The sequence below is a fragment of the Homo sapiens genome, chromosome X (genome assembly GCF_000001405.40).
Source record: "Homo sapiens chromosome X, GRCh38.p14 Primary Assembly".
NCBI lineage: Eukaryota > Metazoa > Chordata > Mammalia > Primates > Hominidae > Homo > Homo sapiens.
In genome coordinates this window covers 150,417,230-150,445,055 of record NC_000023.11, presented here as the reverse complement: position 1 = coordinate 150,445,055, position 27,826 = coordinate 150,417,230, and the positions used below count along the sequence as shown (strand labels likewise).

Genomic DNA, 27,826 nt, shown 5'->3' with positions numbered 1-27,826 from the left:
ATGAAAACATGGTGGCTAAATTAGGTGATGGCTTAGGGCCTCTTCAGCTCTACTAGAGTAAGCCTTATGGTTCATAGAAGAAGCAGCCACCAACTGTGGCACTGTTAGGATACAGCCAAGTGAGCTAACAGTTCAAAGCCTGACAGACACAGGAAGGGAGCAACAGATATTGAAAGGGGGCTCATGAAACCCTGGTGCACTGATGTAAAGGAAACTGACTGAGCAGGTTATGATCATGGCTACTCCTCCAGTGACAGATAAGCAGACATATGCAAACCCAGGTAAAGTTTCATTTCTTTTTGTTTTTCATGATGTAGACATGAAATAAGAGCTCCACTAAGACATTAATATATAAGGACAGCTCTACTTCCCATAAACCTCCTTGGCAGTACAGCATCAGCCTCTAAAATCTCAAGTCTAAACCTCTGCCTCTGGAAATATGGAGAAGTACTTTTCCCCATTCTCTCACTGAGTATCACTAAAACCTCTGGGCATTATATATAAAACAAACATAATAAGACATTAAAAGGTGGAAAGAAAAAAGTATACTGGTTAGGGACCTTGGGACCTGAGCAATGATGCAGTGGCGAGTTCTCTGGATTTTGTTTCTGCCTCATATATACCAGACTTGGAGCTGAAGAAGCCAGAAACCCAGAATGCCAATGGGCACTAACAAAGAAGCCCCAACAAAAGCCTGCTCTTTCTAGCCAAAAGACCAGGAAAGAGGTAACCTAGCAAGACAGAAAACTTTTAGACAATAACTGCTCTACTCCAGCCAAACACCATAGAAGAAAATGCAGTCCCATTATATTCCATCAACAAAAGCCAAATGAGGAGCCTAGACTCCACCCCCACATAGCAGTAATGAGGTGCCCTTCCCTATCCGCACTAGAGTAGTATCAGTAAAAGCCTAGTAGGGAGTTGGAATCCTCACCCCTGTCCAGCAGTAATGAGGAGCTCCATCCTCCCTGATGTCAATGAAGAATAAGATGGTGCCCGCCTTCCCTGCCAGAGCAGTGTCAGAGGAAGTCAGCTAAAACAGAAAATTTAAATAAGATCCAGTCTTATAATGCAATATCCAAAATGCCCAAGTTTCAGTAGCAAAGCACTTGTCAGACCAAGAACCAGTAAGATATCAAATGGAATGGAAAATATTATCGGCAGATGCCAACAGCAAGATGACACAGATGTCAGAACTGCCTGACAAGGATTTTAAAGAAGTAATCATTAAAGTGCTTCAACCAACAATTACAACCATGCTTGGAAGCAAATGAAAAAAATATAGAAAGTCTCAGCAAAGTAATCAGAATTCTCAGCAGAGAAACAGAACATATAAAAAAGAACCAAATGGAAATTTTAGAAATGAAAAATACAATAATGGAAATAAATTCAGTGAATCAAATCAAGAGGATAATGGTAAGAACAGAGGAAAGAATTAAGATAGAACAATAGAAACATCACACTCTGGGGACTGTTGTGGGGTGGGGGGAGGGGGGAGGGAGGAGGGATAGCATTAGGAGATATACCTAATGCTAAATGACGAGTTAATGGGTGCAGCACACCAGCATGGCACATGTATACATATGTAACTAACCTGCACATTGTGCACATGTACCCTAAAACTTAAAGTATAATAATAATAAAATAAAATAAAATAAAATAAAAAGAAATGATCAATCTGAACAACAGAGAGAAGATATCCTGGAAAAAAAAGTAAACATAGACTCAGGGACATACAGAATTACAAACAAAAGATCTAACTTTCATGTCACTGGAATTCCAGAAGGAGATGAGAAAGAGAATGAGACCAAAAAAAAAAAAAAAAAAGTATTCAAAGACATAATTGCTGAAAACTCCCCAAATTTGACAAAAGACATACATCTGGAAATTTAAGAAGCTGAGTGAACCTCAAACAGTATAAATATAAAGAAATCCACTCCAAGACCTGTAACAACAAAACTTCTGAAACATGAAGAGAAAAGCCTTGAATACAGTGAAAGAGAAATGATACCTATAGAAGAAAAATAACTTGAATGAGAGTGAATTTTTGTTCATAAACCATGGATTCCAGAAGGAAGTAGCATAATATTTTTCAAATGCTGAATAAAGAGAACTGTCAACCCAGAACCCTATACTCAGTGAAAATATGCTTCAGATATGAAAGGGAGATCAAGACATTCTCAGATCAAGAGACACTAACAAAATTAGTCAACAATATGCCTCTACAAAGAGAATATCTAAAGAAAATTCTCTAAGCAGAAAGGAAATGATAAAAGAAAGGATATTGAACATTAGAAGGGAATAAAGACCAATGGAAAGAGAAAAAATTATGGGTAAATATAATGGACTTTCCTTCTCCTCTTGAGTTTTCCAAATTATGTTTGAAGGTTAAATCATCGATTATAACATTGTCTGATGTGTCTGTAAATGTATGTGGAAGGAATATTTAACACAATTACATTATAAATAGAGGAAAGTAAAGGGGTGAAAGGAGAGGTAGGGTTTCTATACTTCACTGAAACTGGCAAAATGTTGACACCAGTAGATTATTATGTTATGCATATATATAATGTAATACCTAGAGTGATCCCTAAAAATGCTATACAAAAAGATAGATTCAAAAATGCTATACATGAACCAAATGGAATTCTAAACATTGTTTGAGTAACCCACAGGAAGTCAGAAAAAAGAAAATAGAAAAACAAAAAACCAGAGAACAAACAGAAAACAAAAATAAATTGGCAGAACTAAGCACTAATTTATCAATAAATACAATAAATGAAAATGGTCTAAACATACCAATTAAAAGACAGAGATTGGCAAAGAAGATAACATGATCCAATGATATGCTGTTGCAAGATGCTCACCTCAGATATAATGATTTAGAAAGGCTGAAAGTAAAATAATGGAAAAAGATACACCATGCAAATATTAATTTTAAAAAGTAACAGAGGTGGCTCTAGTGATATTAGATAAAGTAGACTTCAGAGCAAAAAAAAAAAAAAATACCAGCGACAGATAGGGACATTACATAATGCTGAAAGTGTCAATCCACCAACAAGACATAGTACTTTTAAATGTGTATGCTTTAAACAGAAGACCTGCAAATATAGGAAGCAAACGTTTTTAGAACTGAACGGAGAAATAGAAAAATTCACCTTTATAGATGGGGACTTCAACACCCTCTCTCAACAACTGATAGAACAACTACACAGAAAATCAGCAAGATGTATAAGAGCCCAACAACAGGTTTCAATAAGGCCTAAATAAAATGTATAGATTGCTCCACCTGAAAAGAATATAATTTACATTACTTCAAACACCCAAGAAATATATACCAATATAGACATATTTTTGGTGATAAAACAATCCACAAAATATTAAAAGAATTCAAATAATAAATGATGTTTTCTCTATGATGGAATCAAATTGGAAAACAATAACAGAGAGACAACTTGAAAATCTACAAACACTTAGAAATTAAAAAGCATACTTTGAAACAAATTCATGGGTTAACGAGGTCTTAAAAGAAATAAAAATTACATTGAACTGAATTAAAGTGAAAATACAATGTATCAAAATTTGTGGGACACAGGTAAAGCTGTGCTGAGATGATAATGTATAAAACTAAATTTTTGTGTTAGAAATGAGGGAAAATCTAAAATTAATAATATAAGCTTCCACTTAAGGAACCTACAAGAATAAGAATAAAATAAACCCAAAGCAAGCAGAAGGAAGAAAATAATAATAAAAATCAATAATACTGAAGACAGTTTGATAGCAGAGTATATGGTGACCATAGCTAACAACAATGTATTGTATATTTCTAAATAGCTAGGAGAGAGGACTTGCAATGTTCCCAACACATAGAAATGATAAATATTAGCGATAATGGACACCCCAAGTACCCTAACTTGATACTTTCACAGTCTATGCATTTAACAAAATATCATATGTACCGCATGAAGATGTACAAATATTTGTATCAATAAACATAATATTAATAATATTTTTATTATTATTAATTATTAAATTATTAAATATTAATATTTATATTAAATATTATATTATATTATTTTATATTTAATAATTTTTATTAAATTATTTTAATAATAAATAATAATATTATATTTAATAAATAATATTTTAAATTTAATAAATATTATATTAAATATTAAATATTATTAATTATTAAATAAATAATAATTTAATATTAATAATAATATTAAAGAGAGAAAAACAATAGAGAAACCCAATACAAATCTAGTTCTTTCATAAAATTAATAAAATGTACCAATCTCTAGCAAGACTGACAAAGGAAAAAGGGAAGATGCAAATTACCAATACTCTGATTGAAAAGGGAGATGTTACTATAGACTGCAGACATGAAAAGGATAATAAGGGACTACTACTATGAATACACATATAAATTTGGAAACTTAGATAAAATGGACCAATCATTATAAAAGCACAAACTGCCAAAATTTACCCAATATGAAATAATCTGAATGGCTATATAATTATGAAAGAAATCAAATTCATAATTTAAAAATCTGAAATGAAAACTTTAAGCCCAGATGACCTCACTAAAGAATTATATTAGTTGTTTAAAGAAGAATTAGCACCAATTCTACATAATATCCTACAGAAAAGAGAAGAGGAAACACCTCCCAACTCATTGTATTACCTTGACAGCAAAGACAAACACTGTACAAGCAAGAAAAAAAAAAAACCCTGCAGACCAATATTTCCCATGAATATAGACACAAAAATCCTTAAGAAAGTTTCAGCAATTTATAAAAAAGATTTATATACCATGATCAAGTTGAGTTTATTCTTGGTGTGCAAGGGTAGTTCAATATGCAAAAGTCAATCCATGTTAATCATACATACCACCATATTACCATAATATGCTATGTTAACAGGCAAAGACTAAAAATCATGTGATCACCTCAAAACAATATTGAAAAACAAGAAGACTCACGTCCTGATTTTAAGACTTACCACAAAGCAATAGTAATCAAAACAATGTAGCACTGGTATAAGTATAGACATATAGACCAATGAAATAGGCTTGAGAATTCAGAAATAAATCCATTTTTTTTTTTTAAGACAGAGTCTTGCTCTGTCTCCCAGGCTGGAGAGCAGTGGTTCGATCTAGGCTCACTGCAACCTCCACCTCCCAGGTCAAGCGATTCTCCTGCCTCAGCTTCCTGGGGAGCTGGGATTACAGGCACCCAGGTAGCTGAGACTACACCATGCCCGGCTAATTTTTGTATTTTTGGTAGAGACGGTGTTTTGCCACATTGGCCAGGTTGGTCTGGAACTCCTGACCTCAAGTGATTCGCTAGCCTCAGCCTCCCAAAGTGCTGGGATTACAGGCGTGAGCCACCATGCCTGGCCCCTAAACCCATTAATCTATGGCCAATTGATTTTCAACCAGGGTGCCAACACCACTCAATGAGGCAAAGATTAGTCTTCAACAAATGGTAGTGTGACAACTGGATATCCACAGAGAAAAGAATGAAGTTGGACTCCTACCTTATATCATATACAAAATTCAGCTCAAAACTGATCAACAACCTAAACATAGGAGTTAAAACTGTAAAACTCTTAAAAGAAAACATAGAAGTAAATCTTCATGACCTTGAATTTCGCAATGGAACTTTATGACCCTAAGAACATGAACAACAACAACAAAATAGATAAATTGGACTTCATAAAAACTTTTGGGCATCAAAGGACGTTATCAAGAAAATGAAAAGACCTACGGAATGGGAGAAAACATTTGCAAATCATATGGCTAATTAAAACCTAGTCTCTAGAATATACACATAACACCTAAAATGCAACAATAAAAAAGACAACACAATAAAAAACAGGCAAAGGACTTAAATAGATTTATTCCCAAAGAAGATATATAAATGGCCAACAAGCATATGTAATGATGTTCAACATTATTAGTCATCAGAAAAATGACAACCGAAACCACAGCATACCACTTCCCACCCACTAGAATGGCTATAATTAAAAAAGAAGAAAATAACAAGTGTTGGTGAGAAGGTGAAGAAATTGGAACCCTCATACATTGCTGGTGGGAATTTAAAATGTTGCACCTGCTATCAAAAACAGTTTGGCGGTCTCTCAAAAAGTTAAACATAGAATTACCATTTGACCCCACAATTCCACTCCTCGGTATATACCCAAAGGAATTGAAAATAAGGACTCAAACAAATACTTTTGCACAAATGTTCTTAGCAGCACCAAAAGTGGAAACATACCGAATGTACATCAATTAATAAACAGATAAACAAAATTTTGGTATATCCACACAGTGGAATATTATTCAGCCATAAAGGGAACGAAGTACTGATAACATGCTGAAACATGAATGAACCTTGAAAACATTAAGCTAACTGAAAGAAGCCAATCATAATAGGTTACATACTGTATGATTCCATCTTCATAAAATGTCTGGAATAGGTAAATCCATAGAGACAGAAAGCAGATTGGTGGTTGCCACGAACTGAGGGGAGGGGAAGAATGAGGACTAACTGCCGAATGAGTATGAGGTTTTATTTTATGGTGATGCAAATGTTTAGAAATTAGATAGAGGTGATGGTTGCATAACATTGTGAATGTACTAAATATCACAGATTGTTATGTGAATTTCATCTTTGTAAAAATATAGTGACAACACCAAATGCTGGTAAGAATGTGGAGAAACTGAATCACTCATAACATTGCTGGTGGGAATGTAAAATGGTATTGCCACATTGGAAAACAGTTTGGCAGTTTCCTTAAAAACTAAATATCCAGCAACTATATGACCCAGTAATTGCACTCCTGGGCATTTATCCCAGAGGAATAAAGACTTGTGTTGACACAAAACTTGCACATAAGTGTTTGTGGTAGCACTATTCATAATAGTAAAAAACTGGAAACAACTCAGTAATGCTTCAATGATGGTACATGTATACTATGGAAGACTACTCAGCGATACAAAGAAATACACAGTTGATACAAGCAACGGCCTGGATGAATCTGTAGAGAATGATTGTAAGTGAAAAAAAAAAAGACCATCCCCAAAGGTTCCATACTATATTATTCTATTTATGTAACATTCTTAAAATAACAAAACTATAGAAATGGAGAACTGATTAGTGGTTTCCAGAGATTAAGGAGAGAGTGGGTATGGAAGGGAAGTAGATATGTCTATATGTGAGCAAAATGAGAGCTACCCATGGTGATTGAAATGTTCTGTATTTTGACTGTGTCAATGTCAATATCCCATTTGTGATATTGTATGATCATTTCACCAGATGTTATCATTAGGGGAATATGGCTGAAGAGTACATAGCATCTATCTGTATTAGTTCTTACAACTTCATTTGAATCTACATCATCTCAAAAAAATAATTAAAATCATAGTATCCTATTATGTGATGCAGAAAAAGCCTTCAACAAAATTCAACACTTATTCATGATAAAAACCAGGCACAGAGGGGAATGTCCTTAACTTGATAAAGAATATTTACAGTAAATCTACAGTTAACATCACACTTCATGGTTAAAGACTGACTGCTTTCCTTCTAAGAGTGGCAACAAGGCAAGGCTATCTGCTCTTGACACTGATATTCAACATAATACCGGAAGCTCTAGCTAGTCCAATAAGGCAAGAAAATGAAATAAAATGCACACATTTTAAAAAAGAAGAAGTAGCTGCCTCCATGCCACATTGCCATCGCTGACACTGTGAACATCTGCATGGAGGCTGGCAACCCCTGCACCTACCGGCACCCACCCCAACCAAAGAAAGTGCACCCTGCCGTTCTGCTACTGCTGCTGGCACATGTGAATGAGCATGGATCCTGCTGCTACTGTCCGATGGAGTGCTTTGGCTGGCACCATCCATTGCAGTGTTGTGACCAGCAGTCCAGGAACACCTCAGCCCCTTCAGCACAGCAGGTTTCTAACCTTGAAGGGCCAGAGAACAAAACTGAGGACTTGATACCAGCCCCTCAGAGTTAGAACACACAGCCCAGAAGTCCTGAGCTGAGCTTTGCCCCACTAAAATCTCCCAGAAACAAAACCAGCCAACTGAACTCACCTTATATCACAATCAAACCCCCAAGGACATCAAAAAAGAAAAAAAAAACATGCAAAGGAATGCAACTTCAAAGACTGAAAGAATTTCAGCCCACAAAGATGAGAAAGAACCAGGCCAAGAACTCTGGCAACTCAAAAAGCCAGAGTGTCTTGTTACCTCCAAGTGACCACACTACTTCCCCATAATGGTTCTTTACCAGGCTGAAATGGCTGAAATGGCTGAAATGACAGAAATAGAATTCAGAATATGGATAGAAATGATGATCATCAAGATTCAGGAAAAAGTCAAAACTCAATCCAAGGATTCTGAGGAATACAATAAAACAATACAGGAAATGAGAGACGAAATGGCCATCTTAAGCAAGAGCCAAACTGATCTGAGAGAGTTGAAAAACTCACTTAATGAATTTCAGGATACAACTGAATGTATTAACAGCAGGACTGACCAAGCTCAGGAAAGAATCTCAGAGCTTGAAGACTGGCTCTTTGAAATAACTCAGACAAAAATAAAGAGGAAGCAATAAAGAAGAATGACCAATACCTCTGAGAAATATAGGATTATACAAAAAGATCACATCTATGACTCATTGGCATCCCTGAAAGAGAAGGAGAGAAAGCAAACAATTTGGAAAACATATTTCAGGATATTGTCCACAAGAATTTCCCCAACCTACCTAGACAGGCCAGCATTCAAATTCAGGAAATACAGAGAACCCCTGAAAATACTACACAAGAAGACCATCCCCAAGATGCACAGTCATCACATTCTCCAAGATCGAAATGAAAAAAAAAAAAATCATGTTAAAGGCAGATAAAGAAAAGGGGCAGGTCACCTACAAAGGAAACCCCATCAGGCTAACAGCAGACCATTCGGCAGAAACCCTACATGCTAGAAAAGATTGGGGGCCTATATTCAGCATTCTTAAAGAAAATAATTTACAACCAATAATTTTATTTATAGCCAAACTAAGCTTCATAAGTGAAGGAGAAATAAGATCCTTTTCAGACTAGCAAATGTGAAGGGAATTCATTAACAGCAGACTTGCCTTACAAGAGATCCTGAAGGGAGTGCTAAATATGGAAAGGAAAGGTTGTTACCACCCATTACAAAAGCACTCTTAAGTACATAGACCAGTGACACTATAAAGCAACCACACAAAAAATCCTGTATAATAACCAGTAAACAACATGATGACAGGATCAAATGCACACATATCAATACTAGCCTTGAATGTAAATAGGCTACATGCCCCAATTGAAAGGCACAGAGTGCCAAGTTGAGTAAAGAAGTGAGACCCAATGGTATGCTGTCTTCATGAGACCCATATCACATGCAACGACACCCATAGGCTCAAAGTAAAGTGATAGAGAAAAATCTACCAAGCAAACAAAAAACACAAAAAAGCAGGGGTTGCTATTCTTTTATTTTTTTTGAGACAGAGTCTCTCTCTGTTGCCCAGGCTGGAGTGAAGTGGCACAACCTCAACTCATTGCAACCTCCACCTCCCAGGTTCAAGCAATTCTTTGCCTCAGCCTCCCGAGTAGCTGGGATTACAGGTGCCTGCCACCATGCCCAGCTAATTTTTTGTATTTTTAGTAGAGATGGGGTTTCACCATCTTGGCTAGGCTGGTCTTGAACTCCTGACCTCATGATCCACCCGCCTTGGCCTCCCAAAGTGCTGGGATTACAGATGTGAGCCACCGTGCCTGGCCAGGGGTTGCTATTCTTATTTCAGACAAAACAGACTTTAAACCAACAAAGATAAGAAAAGACAAGAAGAGCATTATATAATGGTAAAGGCCTCAATTCAACAAGAAGACCTAACTATCCTAAATACATATGCACCCAACACAGGAGCATCAGATTCATAAAGCAAGTTCTTAGGGACCTCCAAAGAGACTTAGATAACCACACAATAATAGTGGGAGACTTCAACTCTCCACAGGCAGTATTAGACAGATCATCGAGGCAGAAAACTAACAAAGATATTTAGGACCTGAACTCAGAACTTGACCAAATGGACCTAACAGATATCCACAGAACTCTCCACCCCAAAACAACATAATATACATTCCTCTCATCTGCAAATGGCACATACTCTAAAATCCACCACACAATCAGACATAAAACAATCCTCAGCACATTCAAAAAAACTGAAATCATGCCAACCATATTCCTGGATCACAGTGCAATAAAAAAAGAAATCAATGCTAAAAATTTCTCAAAATCATATGATTACATGGAAATTAAACAACGTCCTCCTGAATGACTTCTGAGTAAATAATGAAATTAAGGGAGAAATCAACAAATTATTTGAAACTAAGGAGAACAAAGATACAACATACCAGAATCCCTGGGACACAGCTAAACCAGTGTTAAGAGGGAATTTCATAGCACTAAGTGTCCACATCAAAAAGTTAGAAAGATCTTAAATTAACAACCTAACATCGCCACTACAGGAGATGTAGAGTAACTAGAGAAACAAGAGCAAATGAGCCCCAAAACTAGCAGAAGACAAGAAATAACCAAAATCAAAGCTGAATTGAGGGAAAAGATGTGAAAAACATACAAAAGATTGAAAAATCCAGAAGTTGGTTATTTCAGAGAATTAATAAGACAGATAGACCACTAGATAGATTAATAAAGAAAAAAAGAGAGAGGATCCAAATAAATATAATAAAAAATGACAAAAGGCATGTTATCACTGACCCAACAGAAATACAAAAAATCCCCTGAGACTACACCAACACCTCTATGCACAAAAGCTAGTAAACCTAGAAGAAATGGATAAATTGCTGATAACATACAACCTCCCAAGATTGAACCAGGAAGAAATTGAATCCCTGAACAGACCAATAATGAGTTCTGAAATACAATCAGTAATAAAAATCCTACCAACCAGAAAAAAGCCCAGGACCAGATGGATTCACAGTCAAATTCCACCAGATGTGTAATTCCTGGTACCACTCCTTCTGAAATCATTTCAAAAAACTGCGGAGGAAAGAATCCTCTATAACTCATTCTGTGAGGCCAACATCATCCTGATACCAAAACCTGGCAGAGACACAACAAAAAAGAAAACTTACGGCCAATATTCTTGATGAATATAGATACAAAAATCTTCAACAAAATACTAGCAAACTGAATCCGGCAGCACATCAAAAAGCTAATTCATCATGATCAAGTAGGCTTTATCCTTGTGATGCAAGGTCGGTTCAACATATGCAAATCAATAAATGTGATTCATCCCATAAACAGAACTAAAAACAAAACCCACATGATCATCTCAATAGATATAAAAAGGCTTTCAATAAAATTCAATATCCTTTCATGTTAAAAAATCTCAACAAACTAGGCATTGAAGGGACATACTTCAAAATAATAAGAGCCATCTATGATAAGCCTACAGCCAACATCATACTAAATGGGCAGAAGCTGGAAGTATTCCCCTTGAAAACTGGGACAAGACAAAGATGCTCTCTCTCACCACTTCTATTCAACATAGTATTGGAAGTCCTATCAGGAGCAATCAGGCAAGAGAAATACATAAAGGGCATCCAAATAGGGAAAGAGGAAACCAAATTATCCATTTGCAGACGATATTATTCTATTCCTAGAAAATGCCATATTCTTGCCTAAAAGTTACCTGATCTGATAAACAACTTCAGCAAAGTTTCGGAATATAAAATCAATGTTCAAAAATCAGTAGCATTCCTATACACCAACAACATCCAAGCTGAGAGCCAATTAAGGATGTAATCCCATTCACAATAGCTACAAAAAGAGAAAAATTCCTGGGAATATGGCTAACCAAGGAGGTGAAAGATCTCTAGAACAAGAGCTAAAAAAAACTGCTCAAATAAATCAGAAATGACACAAACAAATGGAAAAACATTCCATGCTGATGGATAGAAAGAATCAATATTGTTAAAATGGCCATACTGCCTGAAACAATTTACAGATTCAATATTATTCCTATCAAACTAACAATGACATTCTTCAGAGAATTAGAAAAAAAAATAAAATTCATATGGAACCTAAAAGAAACTGAAATAGTCAAGGCAATCCTAAGGAAAAAGAGCAAAGCTGGAGGCATCATGTTACCAAACTTCAAACTGTACTACAATGCTACAGTACCCAAAACAGCATGATGCTGGTACAATAACAGGCACATAGACCAGTGAAACATAATAGAGAGCCCGGAAATAATGTTGCACACTTACAACCATCTGATCTTCAACAAAGTTGACAACAAGTAATGAAGAAAGAACTCCATATTCAGTACATGGTGCTGGGATAAGTGGCTAGCCATATGCAGAAGATTGAAACTTGACCCCTTCCTTACACCATATAGAAAAATCAACTCCAGGAGGTTTAAAGACTTAAATGTAATACTTCAAACTATAAAAATCCTGGAAGATAACTTAGGAAATATCATTCTGCATATAGGCTCTGGCAAAGATTTTATGACAAATATGCCAAAAGCAATTGCAAAAAAACCCAAAAATTGACAAATAAGACCTATTTAAACTAAGGAACTTCTGCACAGCAAAAGAAACTATCAACAGTGTGAACAGATAACCTACGAAATGGGACAAAATATTCTCAAACTATGCATCCAACAAAGGTCTAATATCTAGAATCTATAAGGAACTTAAATCAACAAGCAAAAATAACCCCATTAAAAAGTGGCAGAGCACACGAATAGATACTTTTTAAAAGAAGTCATACATGTGGCAAACAAGCATATGAGAAAATGCTCAACATCACTAATCATTAGAGAAATGCAAATCAATATCACAATGAGATACCATCTCACCCCAGACATTTAATGGCTATTACTAAAACATAAAAAAAAAACAGAGGTTGTGGAGAAAGGGGATAGTTATACACTACTAGTGGGAATATATAACTAACTGAACTAATAGACATCTACAGAACAAAAACAGTTTAGTGATTTCTCAAAGAACTCAAAGCAGAATTAACACTTGACCCAGCCATCCCATTATCATGTATATACCCAAGGGAATATAAATCATTCTACCATAAAGACACACACACGCATGTGTTCATCACAGCACTATTCACAATAGCATATACATGGAATCAACCTAAATGCCCATCAAAAGTAGACTGGATAAAGAAAATGTTGTATATATACACTGTGAAATACCATGCAGCTGTAAAAAAAAAAAGGAGATCATGTCCTTTGGTCCTTTGCATAAATGTGGATGGAGCTGGTGGACATTATCCTAAGTGAAAAGAACAAAAGTCCACAAACTGCATGTTCTCACTTACAAGTCAGAGGTAAACATCGAGTACATATGGACATAAAGAGGGGAACAACAGACACTGAGGCCTACTTGAGGGTGGACGGAGGGAAGAGGGTGAGAATCAAAAAACTACCTATCAGGTACTATGCTTATTACGTGGGTGGCAAAATAACCTGTACACCAGACCCCTGTGACATGCAATTTACCTATATATCAAACCCGCACATGTACCCCTTGACCTAATTTTTTTTTAAAAAGTAGAAAAAAAAAAAAACAAGGAAGAAGAAGAAGTAAAACGATTGCAGTTGACATGATTGTCTATCTGAAAAATCTCAAAGTATCTACAGAGAAACTGCTAGAACTCATACATGAGTTCAGCAAATTCTCAGGATACAAGATCAACATATAAAAATTAATTGCATTCCTGTATACTAGCAATGAACACACAGACATCGGAATGAAAACACAATACCATATACTATTGCTCAAAAAACACTTACGTGTAAATCAAGGAAAACATGTACAGGACGTATAAACTGAAAATTACACAACACTGATGAAAGAAATCAAAGAATTAAAGAAATGGAGTAATATACCATGTTCATAGATTGGAAAACTCAACATAGTAAAGACATTGACTTCTCCCAAATAGACATCCAGGTTTAACCAATTCTTATCAAAATTCAAGTAAGATTTTTTGTAGATATAAAAAAGATTTTTCCAAAATTTTATGGAAAGGAAGTAGAGGGGCTGAAACAATTGTGAAAAAGAAGAATAACCAGTGTACCTGATTTAAAGACTTATTATAGGGCTACATTAATCAAGACTGTGCAGTAATGGCAGAGGGACAGACAGATAATTGGAACTGGACAGAGAACCTAGAAATAGACTCACGTAGATACGCCAAACTGATTTTTGACAAAAGTGCAAAAGCAATTCAGTGGAGGAATAATAGCCTTTTCAACACATGGTTCTGGAATATCTATAGGCAAAACATGAACTTCAATCTATACCTTATACCTTACACAAAAATTCACTCAAAGTGATCATTGAGCTAAATTTAAAATATAAAACTATAAAAGTTTTAGGAAAAATAGGAGAAAATCTTCTGGATTTAGAGCTAGGCAAAGAGTTCTTTCTTAGACGTGACACCAAAAGCATAACCCATAAAAGGAAAAATTCATAAACTAGACTTCATCAAAAATAAAATCTTTCGCTCTGTGAAAGACCCTGTGAAAGACCCTGTGAATAGAATGAAAAGTCAAGCTGTAGACTGGGAGAAAATATTTGCAAACCTTATGTTTAATAAAGGACTTGTATCTAGAGTGTATAAAGAATATCAAAACTTAACAGTAAGAAGACAAACCATCTAATTAGAAAACGGGCAGAAGCCATTTTGGGGGCCAAGGTGAGTGGATCACCTGAGGTCAGGAGTTCAAGACCAGCCTGGCCAACATGGCGAAACCCCATTTCTATTAAAAATACAAAAATTAGCCAGGTGTGGTGGTGTGCACCTGTAATTCCAGCTACTCATGAGGCAGGAGAATCGCTTGAACCCATGAGGTGGAGGTTGCAGTGAGCCAAGATCACACCACTGCACTCCAGCCTGGGCAAAGGAGTGAGACTGTCAAAAAAAAAAAAAAAAAAAAAAAAGAAAAGAAAGAAAGAAAAGAAAATGGGCAAAAGATATGAAGAGGCATTTCACTGAATTTCACTGAAGAGGATATACAGATGGCAAGTAAACACATGCAAAGACGTTCAACATCATTAGCTATTAGGGAAATGCAATTTAAAACCACAATGAGATACCACTACCTACTTAACAGAGTGGCTAAGCTAAAAAACAATGACAACATCAAATGCTGGTGAGGAAGTGGAGAAACTGGATCACTCATTTACTGCTGGTGGAAATCAGTTTGACAGTGTCTTACACAACTCAACATGCAACTTCCATATGACTCAGCAACTGTACTCCTGGGCATTTATCCCAGAGACATGAAAGTTTATATCAAAAATTTATATATAAAAATTTATATTTTAGAATAGAAAATGTTTCTTATAAATTTTTAAAATTTTTATACGGAAACCTGTAGCAATATCAATTTCCAAGTTTTGATATTGCACTATTGTTATATGAGTTGTAACCACTGGGGAAAACTAGATGTAAGGTACAGGGGGGCCTCTTTACTGTGTTTGCAACTTCCTGTGAATCTAATTTTTCCCAAGTAAGAAACTAACTGCTATTCCAAAAGGACTTCAGGGTCCAGATGCAGGGGGACATCAATTCTTCTTACTGCTTTTGGGACCTTTCCTACATAGCACTATTTTTTTCAATCAACTTTTGATGTTTGTACAGACTTTCTTATTTAAAAAAAAACCAATTCCCACCCAAATATTTCTTGGGTGCTTCAGGGGCCAAGCCTGAGGCCTCAGGAGTGACCTCATACAAATGTGAGGGTCTAGAGACATCCCAGTAAAGATAAAATGGCATGATATACAATGCACCCAAATGAAGAAGAAAAAAAAGAGGCCTCTGATACTGCTAAGGCCATCACTAACTCCCTCATCCAGATAGGCCCAGCATCTCCAGCTTCTCTGGAGGATGGAAGCTCAGATCTCATTATAGGACTGGCAACACAAAACCTATCAACTTCAAGCAAGCTGCCCATTCAGCCCTAAAGAAAAAAGGTTTAAAATGCTGCTTTGGCTTTCAAAGACTCCACTCTATTGATTTTATGCCTTCCCCCTTTGTGACACCCGGAGCCAATGTAAAGGGGACTGGTGAGGTAGTGGCCAAAACTTCCTACACAAAGGCTCAATTCTCTGGTGTGCAGTAGCTGCCTACTCCCTCACCACCACAATCTTCATCAGGTACTGGCTGGACCCAGGAAGCAGGGCCAATGGAGGGGACACTGGAGAGGGATCACTGCCTGTACATTGACTTTGGTCCAAGTTGAAAGGTATCTCACAACCTCAGCACATTAGCCTGTGGACACAGCTTTGTTTCTTCTTTCCCTCTAGATGAATCCAAGCCTATGAAATAGCCCTTAAGCAGACCTTTCTGTCCAAAGCAGGAGTAAGCCACCTTTTGCATCCAAATGCCTGGCTGTGTACCATCTTCCCATGGCAATGTTCATGAGCACCTGCCCAGGAAGCCTATGCCTCTGATAGAAAGAAACCAAATCCTCAGCAATGTTTCTCACTCATGAACAATCCAGGGATAAAGAGGAACTCCAAAGCCATCTGCCACATGCAATTTGGAGTTTAGTCAAATAAATCTGTGGGTCTTCAACTTTCGATTTTATATTACATCCATGTTTGCTTTAATATAGGAAAAAATGCCTGCGTCCTCAAGTAAATGGTTGTTCCAGGGACATGTGTTGCTCTATGGCTTTGTTACTTGTGGACCCAGGAAGTGGAGTGGAGTGAGTACTGTACTCACACCTTAGTCACAGAAACAGAGGCCTGTGGGCAGTCTCTTTTCCCACATCAGGCTCTAAGTACACACCTGGGAGCCCTTAGCCACCCATACCCAGAAGAAGATATGAAAGAGAGCAAAGACCCTCTGTGCTGGGCTCTGAAGGCACCCCAGTAACCCCAGAGTTATCACTGGTTTACCCCTCCTTACATTATCTACGACCTCTTGCTTATCTGGGACCTTTAGCTCCCAGACCATGGACCCTGCTGGATCCCTAATGCCCATCTCAAAGTGCCAGTTGGAGCTAGATCTACCTTGCTGCCACCTGACTCTAGGCATGACAGGAAGTAAATGAGGAACCAAATCAAAGGCACCTGGCAAGAAAGGAAGAGGAGTATGTGGATATTGATTGAGCAACCCCAAAAGGCTGAAATCTTTAGAAGCTCAAAGGTGTCTGAGTCCCACAACCCTCACCAAATCAGAGGAAAAATGAACTAAGGGGCAGAAACAACTTTGGGCTTCAGCCTGGAACGTCCAAAGGTGAGCTGCATTGTGAAGTCAAGCTCTGTGCCTGTTTCTGAGCTGTACTCTTAGTGACTCCAGGTAAGTTGCTGGACATGCCTGAGTCTGTCCCTCATCCTAATAGCTTCTTCCTCTGTTCCCTGGATAGGGTGAGGATGAGGAGACAGGTGTGGTTCAGGCATTCCCAAGAAAAGTTCTGAGGTGAGGCCATCATGTCCTACCTGGAGTCTCCAGACTATTGGGCAGATTTGGGGTTAAGGCAGAAGACATTGAATATTAGAGCCATCATTTTTCAAGGGTGAAATTTGGCCCTCAAAGAAAAGAAAAGCCAAAAGAACTCCTGCTTTCAAATGAGCTTGCAGAAGAATGGAACACATCTACTTGGGTGAAGATAATGTTGATGGCAGAGTAATTCAAGTCTATCTTCAAACATGCATGTTGATGTTATGGATTGAATTATGTCCTCCAAATTAATATGTTGACATTCTAACTCCCAGTACTTCATAATGTGATCTTATTTGGAAATAGGGCCATTGCAGATATAATGAGGTAAGATGAAGTCTTACTGGAGTAGGGTGGGCCCTTAATCCAATATGATTGGTGTCTGTATAAAAAGGGGAAATTTGGACACAGAAACATGCACACAGAGAGAACACTATGTAAAGATTGGAGCTCTGCTGCCTCAAGCCAAGGAAAGAGGCCTAGAACAGGTCTTTCCCTAGAGCTGTCAGAGGAAGTGTGGCCCTGCTGACACACCTTGATCTTGGACTTCTGCCTCCAGAACTGTGAGACAATCAATTCTGATGCTTAAGTCATCTAGTTTTAATATTTTGTTATGACAGCCCTAGCAAACTAATACATTGGGGATAAAAATGTTTCTGCAGGCAAGGTGAAGATGCCAGTGGAGACTGGCCCATTTCCACAGCAGACCATACTTGCTGGTTACTTTGAGCTTCTGGGCCTGCTTAGTCTTCTGTGGTGAGGGACTGACCATCTCTCATTATGATGAATAAGAGCTGGAACATCCTGAGATCCTGAGCCCAGAGCAGTCCTTGGCTCTTGGCATTTAGAGGACACCTAGCTCTGGATTCTTATTATTCTGCTATCCCTATGAGCCTGAAACCAGGGATCATTTATCTCAGGTGGCTCTCAACCAGAAAACCCAACAAAATACTTTGCTCATGGCAAATGCTTATAAACTTCTGTAGACAAAACTGTGGTACAGGGGCCATATGGGAATGGAGAAGAAGCAATCGGAAGGCAGCATCTTCATGGAAATTTTGCATGGCTTGATGGCCAGCTGAATACAGACCAGGAGGCTAAGGCCATTCCTACTTTCCAGACTTCCGGCCTGGATGTTGGGAAGAAATGTGGGGCTGCTGATAGGCAGAGAATGCTGCACCAGCAATAGACTCCTCAAGCCACTGTCATCAGTCATGACCACTTCTGGCTGCAATTAGAGCAGATCACCCTGCTGTACTAGGGACTAGCTAACTGTTACTAGTTACTGTATACCACTAACAATCTTAGTGTTATGCTAGGACATGAATAAAGTAGGATGCCTTGATCCAGGAAACCAGACCTGGGAGAAGCAGAAGAGCCCAGTCTGGAGACAGGCAGGGCAAGGTTAATAAGGCTGGCCTCCTAGATGTCAGTATAGCCAAGGCTTTGGAGCCCAACAAGCAGGACCTGAAACAGAAAGGTTGGCTTCTCAGTCATGAGTTACAGGGCTCTGGGAAAGCTGTTTAAACTTTAGGACTCAGTTTCCTCATAGGTAAAATGCAAAGTTCTATACAGGAATATAACAGCTATCTTTGGGTGCCTGCTATGATCCAGACACTGGGCTTGACAATTTACACAGAGCATTTCACTGGCTCGCTCCAACAACCCCACAAGGTACATAGGAAGAGCCTTCTGTACAGGTGCTCCCTCTGTGTTCCCCAGGTCCTTGGCAGGAAGTATTTGTCTAGCATTTGATTCCTCCTCTAGACTGTAAATTCTTGTGAGAGAAGGAAACATGTCTTATATGTGGCTGTAGCCCCAGAGTGTTCAGAGCATAGTAAGGTCTCGGGAATGATCTCCCGAATGGATCTGCAGGGTGGATTCAAGCTTGGGTGGAGGGCTGGACTAGAACTCTCTGAAGGCATCACCCAACCTAGAGCCTGGATGACTTGGTGTGCTGGAGCACAAGTGAGCTTAGCAATGCATAACACATTGCTTAATATTTCTGTGAATTTTAAAGGACTGTTTTGACACTATACAAGAGCTGTGAGGCATATAATTATAGCCTTGTGCTAATAGATATATCAATATTCTAAAACATCACTTTTAGCTTTGAAAAGTTGACTTTAAAAAGCTCAAAGTGATGTGGAGAAATTGGGGCCCTCATACATTGTTGGTGGGAATGTAAAACAGTGAAGTTGTTATGAAAAACTAACATAGAGTAGCTATATGATCCTACAATTCCACTCCTAGATATATGCCCAAGAGGATTGAAAACAGAGATTCGTACAAAATCTTGAACAGGAATGTTCATAGAAACACTACTCATAGTAGTAGCCCAAAGTAGAAACAACCCAAATGTCTATCATCAGGTAAGTGGATAAGTAAAATGTGGTCTAGCTGTACAGTATAATATTATCATCCATAAAAAAGAATGAAGTACTGATCCATGTTATAACATGGATGAACCGTTTAAACATCGTGCTAAGTGAAAGAAGCCAGATACAGAAAACTACATATTGTATGATTCAATTTATGCGAAATATCCAGAATAGGCAAGTCCATAGAGGCTGAAAGTAGCTTAGTGGTTGCCTAGGGCTAGGGGAAGGAAGGGAGAATGTGGACTGACTACTAATGGGTACAGGGTTTCTTTTGAGGGTGATGAAAATGTTCTTGAATTAATTGTGGTGATGGTTGCACATCTCTGTGAAAACACTAAAACACATTGAATTGTAAACTTTCAATGGATTAATTGAATGGTATATGAATTATATCTTAATGAGGCTGCTTTTTCTAGTCCAAATTGTTATCACTCTTTGCTCTAATTTGACATTTTAGAAAGATGTTTCTTTTAGAGAAAAGATACAACAAAATCTTTTAAGTTTTGAAGGAGAAAAATGTTTATACCCTCTACCATTAGCAAGACTGGTTCCCTTTGAAATGGGCCATCAACACACCCTTTTTTCCTTGTTTATATGCTGACCTAGCAGTGCTGGAAACTTTCTTCCAGCAACCCACATATCAATGAACAACTTGCAAAGTTGGTGTAGGAATATTCTAAGCTCTGGTTGATCCTACTTTTGACATTGCTGCTGCTGCTGCTCCCCAGGAACTCCCAATCTCTGTCCTTTTGATTTCAGGAAATTTTCATGCCATTGAGGTTAAAAATGCCCCCCTCTCATCTGGGCGTCATGTGCTACCCAGTGATGAATCAGCTTGAGGCCAGGACTTCCTGGCAAGTACAGGTATCCCATAATCCCACAGAGTGGGCTCAGATGGCAGGACCCTGCTTGAAGGAGCCAAGAATTGTACAAACCAATAAGCCAATTGAGGGCAAACTGTCTCTCAAGCTGACCATGTGCTGAAAACTTATTTGACTCTAAAATCAAACAGCACACAGTGACCTCCCATTATGGCAGAGAACAGAGTTTTCTGGAACTTGGGGACATCAAGAAACGAAGGCAGAGCAAGACTATCTTACACCAACAATAGCAATGCTCATCTTGTCACATGATTGACTGCAGAACTAGCCTTCAAAGTAATGTGAGTCCAAGTTTTTTCAAGTCCTTATTTCTTGAAAAAGAAAAGTTGAACTTGTTTAGCATCATCTTTTCCTATGCTATAAGCATCATCTTTTCCTATGCTATAAACATCATACACTTTGAGAATTCAAAGATACCTTGGATTTAAAGTGGCAGTCCAAACTGAAAATTCAAGTGATCTCCGTGCTAGTTTTCTCATGAGCTAAATGCCTACAGGCTTAATTCCCTTAAGCTTTTCCATAGTCGACCACCAAAGTTGGTGTGTGTTGGAGGGTGCTGTTCCAGTGTCCATTGCAGGGACACAACATACCACTCATTAGTTGGTATACTCTCTCTCTCTCTCTCTCTCTCTCTTTCTCTCTCTTCTGGAAAGCACTATGGCACTAGAAGCCCTGGAGGAAAAGGGCCCCCTCTTTAAGCTTGGGGTTATCCCCATCAGTACTGGTAGGCATAGATTCCTCTATCTTCCTCTCAAATTGCTACTCCGGTTGTTCTACAGCTGACTAGCAAAGGAAACGGGCAGCAGCTGGTCTTTTCCTTTTCTGCCCTTATGGACTGCTCAACCGTAGCCCCAAAGGTGCAAACACACACACACACACACACACACACACACACACACAGAGTATAATGTTTTTCCCCCCTGGAAATGATTTTAAAAACAATGTGTCCCTAGACTTACCCTACAGGAACAACTGGAAATGTTGCACTAGGCAGGAGGAAAATGTTGGAAATTGTTTGGTTTTGTAGTAATTTCAGCAGGCAGTTGCCTCAGAGTGTAGAAACAGTTTGCAAACATGTTACACTTGGGCCCAGGTGCCAGTCATACCAGCTGGCCCAACAAAGGTTTGCAAAGCATTTTTAGCTGGCGGTCTAGGAGAAATAATGAAACGAACATGGGGTTGAGGACCAGGAGACCTGAGTTCCACTTCCATCCATAGGTCATTTGACCTCTTTGAGTCTCAGGTTCCTGATCTACAAAATGGGGCTGATCCTCTTTACTCTCCTCCCCTCCCATGGTGCACATAAGGATCAAATGAGACCTTGAACCAGAAAGCCCCTTGGACAGGGTGGTGCTGTGTGCACTAAAGGCACAAGGGAAGGGCAGCCCTTTTTTTTCAATGCAGGCAATGGAGACAGCAACTGAGCTGAAGGACAGCAATCCCTTTTTGTTCTCCTCCTTTTTTATAGCAAAGCTTGGTTAGAATCCTAGAATGTTAATATCAGGAGGGAAAACTAGAGATTATAAAGTCCAGGCTAGGCCCAGTGGCTCACGTCTGTAATCCCAGCACTTTGTGAGGCCGAGGTGCGTGGATCACTTGAGGTCAGGAGTTCGAGACCAGCCTGGCCAACATGGTGAAATCCTATTTCTACTAAAAATACACACACACAAAATTAACTGGGCATGGTGGTGCTCACCTCTAATCCCAGCTATTTGGGAGGCTGAGGCAGGAGAATTGCTTGAACCCCGGGAGGTGGAGGTTGCAGTGAGCACAGATCACATTATTGCACTCCAGCTTGGGAGACACAGCGAGTCTCTGTCACACACACCAAAAAGGTCCAATCCCCTTCTTGTACAGATAGGGAAACTGAGGAAGAGACTCACCCAGGAACATATGCTAGCAAAAGATGGTGAGAGATGACTCTAGAAGTCAGATTCCCTGAATCCCAAGCCAGGGCATGAGCCCAGCAGACCGGACTTAAAGACAGACGCTCTATGTAATATTTCCTTGGGTCCACATTCTGAAAGATCCTGGATAGAAGCCTCATAAATCTGCAAGGCAGCCTCCCAGGCTGTCCAGTGACCGCCTCTCCTTAAAGAAGTGCCGACATCACTGAGGTTTCAACCTCTCCCTGGCAAGCTGACAGACGAGTAGCTTCACCTCTCTGAGTTGCACTTTCTTTCGATGTACTAAAGAGCTTGGCCAGGAGGACTCTACGAGGCTTGCCAGCTGGCATCATCCCTGTGTTGGTGACTAGCTTTCCTCTATGGTCATCCACCGATTACAATTCCCCAGCCAGAGGAGGGTACGAACAGACTTCCCTTCAGTGGCTGCTGGAAAGATCTTAGACCGCCTCCAGATTCCCAGTGGGGTTGGGTGGAGCTTGGGGTCCCTTCTTTCCACATTAAACCAAAGACTAGTGAGACATCCCTCTTCCCCCAGATTTCAAGCAAAGCAATCTGGGGAATTGAAGCCCTGAATCATTAATTGGGACAATGCTCAAGATTATTCAGCAAACTTAGAGCCCAACACGTTCTAAAAAGAAAGTGTCAGAAAACAAACTCACAGCTAAGAAAGAGATGTGGGCAGTTGTCACTCGGCATTTTGAGGGGATGTCCCTATAGGTTTGCATACATGTCTAGCCTCTGTCTCCAATTATACTGGTGGTAAGTCCAACAGAGAAAACTACCTAAGAAGGTGGGTAGGGAGAGAAAGAGTGTTTAACAAGTGGCCAAAAGTAGCAGTGAGTTAAGAGAAGAACCAGAATAGCCATTAAAGAAAGAAAGAAGAAAAATGGCAAGATGGCTGAATAGGAACAGCTCCGGTCTACAGCTCCCAGCGTGAGCGACGCAGAAGACGGGTGATTTCTCCATTTCCATCTGAGGTACCGGGTTCATCTCACTAGGGAGTGCCAGACAATGGGTGCAGGTCAGTGGGTGCGTGCACCGTGCGCGAGCGAAGCAGGGCGAGGCATTGCCTCACCTGGGAAGCGCAAGGGGTCAGGGAGTTCCCTTTCTGAGTCAAAGAAAGGGGTGACTGACGGCACCTGGAAAATCGGGTCACTCCCACCTGAATACTGTGCTTTTCCCACGGGCTTAAAACACGGCGCACCACGAGATTATATCCCGCACCTGGCTCGGAGGGTCCTACGCCCACGGAGTCTCGCTGATTGCTAGCACAGCAGTCAGATCAAACTGCAAGGCAGCAGCGAGGCTGGGGGAGGGGCGCCCGCCATTGCCCAGGCTTGATTAGGTAAACAAAGCAGCCGGGAATCTCGAACTGGGTGGAGCCCACCACAGCTCAAGGAGGCCTGCCTGCCTCTGTAGGCTCCACCTCTGGGGGCAGGGCACAGACAAACAAAAAGACAGCAGTAACCTCTGCAGACTTAAATGTCCCTGTCTGACAGCTTTGAAGAGAGCAGTGGTTCTCCCAGCACACAGCTGGAGATCTGAGAACGGGCAGACTGCCTCCTCAAGTGGGTCCCTGACCCCTGACCCCCGAGCAGCCTAACTGGGAGGCACCCCCAGCAGGGGCACACTGACACCTCACATGGCAGGGTACTCCAACAGACCTGTAGCTGAGGGTCCTCTCTGTTAGAAGGAAAACTAACAAACAGAAAGTACATCCACACCAAAAACCCATCTGTACATCACCATCATCAAAGACCAAAAGTAGATAAAACAACAAAGATGTGGAAAAAACAGAACAGAAAAACTGGAAACTCTAAAAAGCAGAGCACCTCTCCTCCTCCAAAGGAACGCAGTTCCTCACCAGCAACGGAACAAAGCTGGATGGAGAATGACTTTGACGAGCTGAGAGAAGAAGGCTTTAGACGATCAAATTACTCTGAGCTATGGGAGGACATTCAAACCAAAGGCAAAGAAGTTGAAAACTTTGAAAAAAATTTAGAAGAATGTATAACTAGAATAACCAATACAGAGAAGTGCTTAAAGGAGCTGATGGAGCTGAAAACCAAGGCTCGAGAACTACGTGAAGAATGCAGAAGCCTCAGGAGCCGATGCGATCAACTGGAAGAAAGGGTATCAGCAATGGAAGATGAAATGAATGAAATGAAGCGAGAAGGGAAGTTTAGAGAAAAAAGAATAAAAAGAAATGAGCAAAGCCTCCAAGAAATATGGGACTATGTGAAAAGACCAAATCTACGTCTGATTGATGTACCTGAAAGTGATGGGGAGAATGGAACCAAGTTGGAAAACACTCTGCAGGATATTATCCAGGAGAACTTCCCCAATCTAGCAAGGCAGGCCAACGTTCAGATTCAGGAAATACAGAGAATGCCACAAAGATACTCCTCGAGAAGAGCAACTCCAAGACACATAATTGTCAGATTCACCAAAGTTGAAATGAAGGAAAAAATGTTAAGGGCAGCCAGAGAGAAAGGTCGGGTTACCCTCAAAGGGAAGCCCATCAGACTAACAGCGGATCTCTCGGCAGAAACCCTACAAGCCAGAAGAGAGTGGGGGCCAATATTCAACATTCTTAAAGAAAAGAATTTTCAACCCAGAATTTCATATCCAGCCAAACTAAGCTTCATAAGTGAAGGAGAAATAAAATACTTTACAGACAAGCAAATGCTGAGAGATTTTGTCACCACCAGGCCTGCCTTACAAGAGCTCCTGAAGGAAGCACTAAACATGGAAAGGAACAACTGGTACCAGCCGCTGCAAAATCATGCCAAAATGTAAAGACCATCGAGACTAGGAAGAAACTGCATCAACTAACAAGCAAAATAACCAGCTAACATCATAATGACAGGATCAAATTCAAACATAACAATATTAACTTTAAATGTAAATGGACTAAATGCTCCAATAAAAAGACACAGACTGGCAAATTGGATAAAGAGTCAAGACCCATCAGTGTGCTGTATTCAGGAAACCCATCTCATGTGCAGAGACACACATAGGCTCAAAATAAAAGGATGGAGGAAGATCTACCAAGCAAATGGAAAACAAAAAAAGGCAGGGGTTGCAATCCTAGTCTCTGATAAAACAGACTTTAAACCAACAAAGATCAAAAGAGACAAAGAAGGCAGTTACATAATGGTAAAGGGATCAATTCAAGAAGAAGAGCTAACTATCCTAAATATATATGCACCCAATACAGGAGCACCCAGATTCATAAAGCAAGTCCTGAGTGACCTACAAAGAGACTTAGACTCCCACACATTAATAATGGGAGACTTTAACACCCCACTGTCAACATTAGACAGATCAACGAGACAGAAAGTCAACAAGGATACCCAGGAATTGAACTCAGCTCTGCACCAAGCGGACCTAATAGACATCTACAGAACTCTCCACCCCAAATCAACAGAATATACATTCTTTTCAGCACCACACCACACCTATTCCAAAATTGACCACATAGTTGGAAGTAAAGCTCTCCTCAGCAAATGTAAAAGAACAGAAATTATAACAAACTGTCTCTCAGACCACAGTGCAATCAAACTAGAACTCAGGATTAAGAATCTCACTCAAAACCGCTCAACTACATGGAAACTGAACAACCTGCTCCTGAATGACTACTGGGTACATAACGAAATGAAGGCAGAAATAAAGATGTTCTTTGAAACCAATGAGAACAAAGACACAACATACCAGAATCTCTGGGACGCATTCAAAGCAGTGTGTAGAGGGAAATTTATAGCACTAAATGCCCACAACAGAAAGCAGGAAAGATCCAAAATTGACACCCTAACATCACAATTAAAAGAACTAGAAAAGCAAGAGCAAACACATTCAAAAGCTAGCAGAAGGCAAGAAATAACTAAAATCAGAGCAGAACTGAAGGAAATAGAGACACAAAAACCCTTCAAAAAATTAATGAATCCAGGAGCTGGTTTTCTGAAAGGATCAACAAAATTGATAGACCACTAGCAAGACTAATAAAGAAGAAAAGAGAGAAGAATCAAATAGACGCAATAAAAAATGATAAAAGGGATATCACCACCGATCCCACAGAAATACAAACTACCATCAGAGAATACTACAAACACCTCTATGCAAATAAACTAGAAAATCTAGAAGAAATGGATAAATTCCTGGACACATACACTCTCCCAAGAGTAAACCAGGAAGAAGTTGAATCTCTGAATAGACCAATAACAGGAGCTGAAATTGTGGCAATAATCAATAGCCTACCAACCAAAAAGAGTCCAGGACCAGATGGATTCACAGCCGAATTCTACCAGAGGTACAAGGAGGAACTGGTACCATTCCTTCTGAAACTATTCCAATCAATAGAAAAAGAGGGAATCCTCCCTAACTCATTTTATGAGGCCAGCATCATTCAGATACTACTCATCTGACAAAGTGCTAATATCCAGAATCTACAATGAACTCAAACAAATTTACAAGAAAAAAACAAACAACCCCATCAAAAAGTGGGTGAAGGACATGAACAGACACTTCTCAAAAGAAGACATTTATGCAGCCAAAAAGCACATGAAAAAATGCTCATCATCACTGGCCATCAGAGAAATGCAAATCAAAACCACAATGAGATACCATCTCACACCAGTTAGAATGGCGATCATTAAAAAGTCAGGAAACAACAGGTGCTGGAGAGGATGTGGAGAAATAGGAACACTTTTACACTGTTGGTGGGACTGTAAACTAGTTCAACCATTGTGGAAGTCAGTGTGGAGATTCCTCAGGGATCTAGAACTGGAAATACCATTTGACCCAGCCATCCCATTACTGGGTATATGCCCAAAGGACAATAAATCATGCTGCTATAAAGACACATGCACACGTATGTTTATTGCGGCACTATTCACAATAGCAAAGACTTGGAACCAACCCAAATGTCCAACAATGATAGACTGGATTAAGAAAATGTGGCACATATACACCATGGAATACTATGCAGCCATAAAAAATGATGAGTTCATGTCCTTTGTAGGGACATGGATGAAATTGGAAATCATCATTCTCAGTAAACTATCACAAGAACAAAAAACCAAACACTGCATATTCTCACTCATAGGTGGGAAT

At 39.3% G+C, this 27,826-nt stretch overlaps 1 protein-coding gene across 11 annotated transcripts in view; it reads right to left on the bottom strand.

The window, feature by feature from the left end:
- The window catches only part of MAMLD1 (mastermind like domain containing 1), a 152,602-nt gene that overhangs the window by 69,118 nt on the left and 55,658 nt on the right, over window positions 1–27,826 (bottom strand). The gene's annotated exons all lie outside the window — the stretch shown is intronic.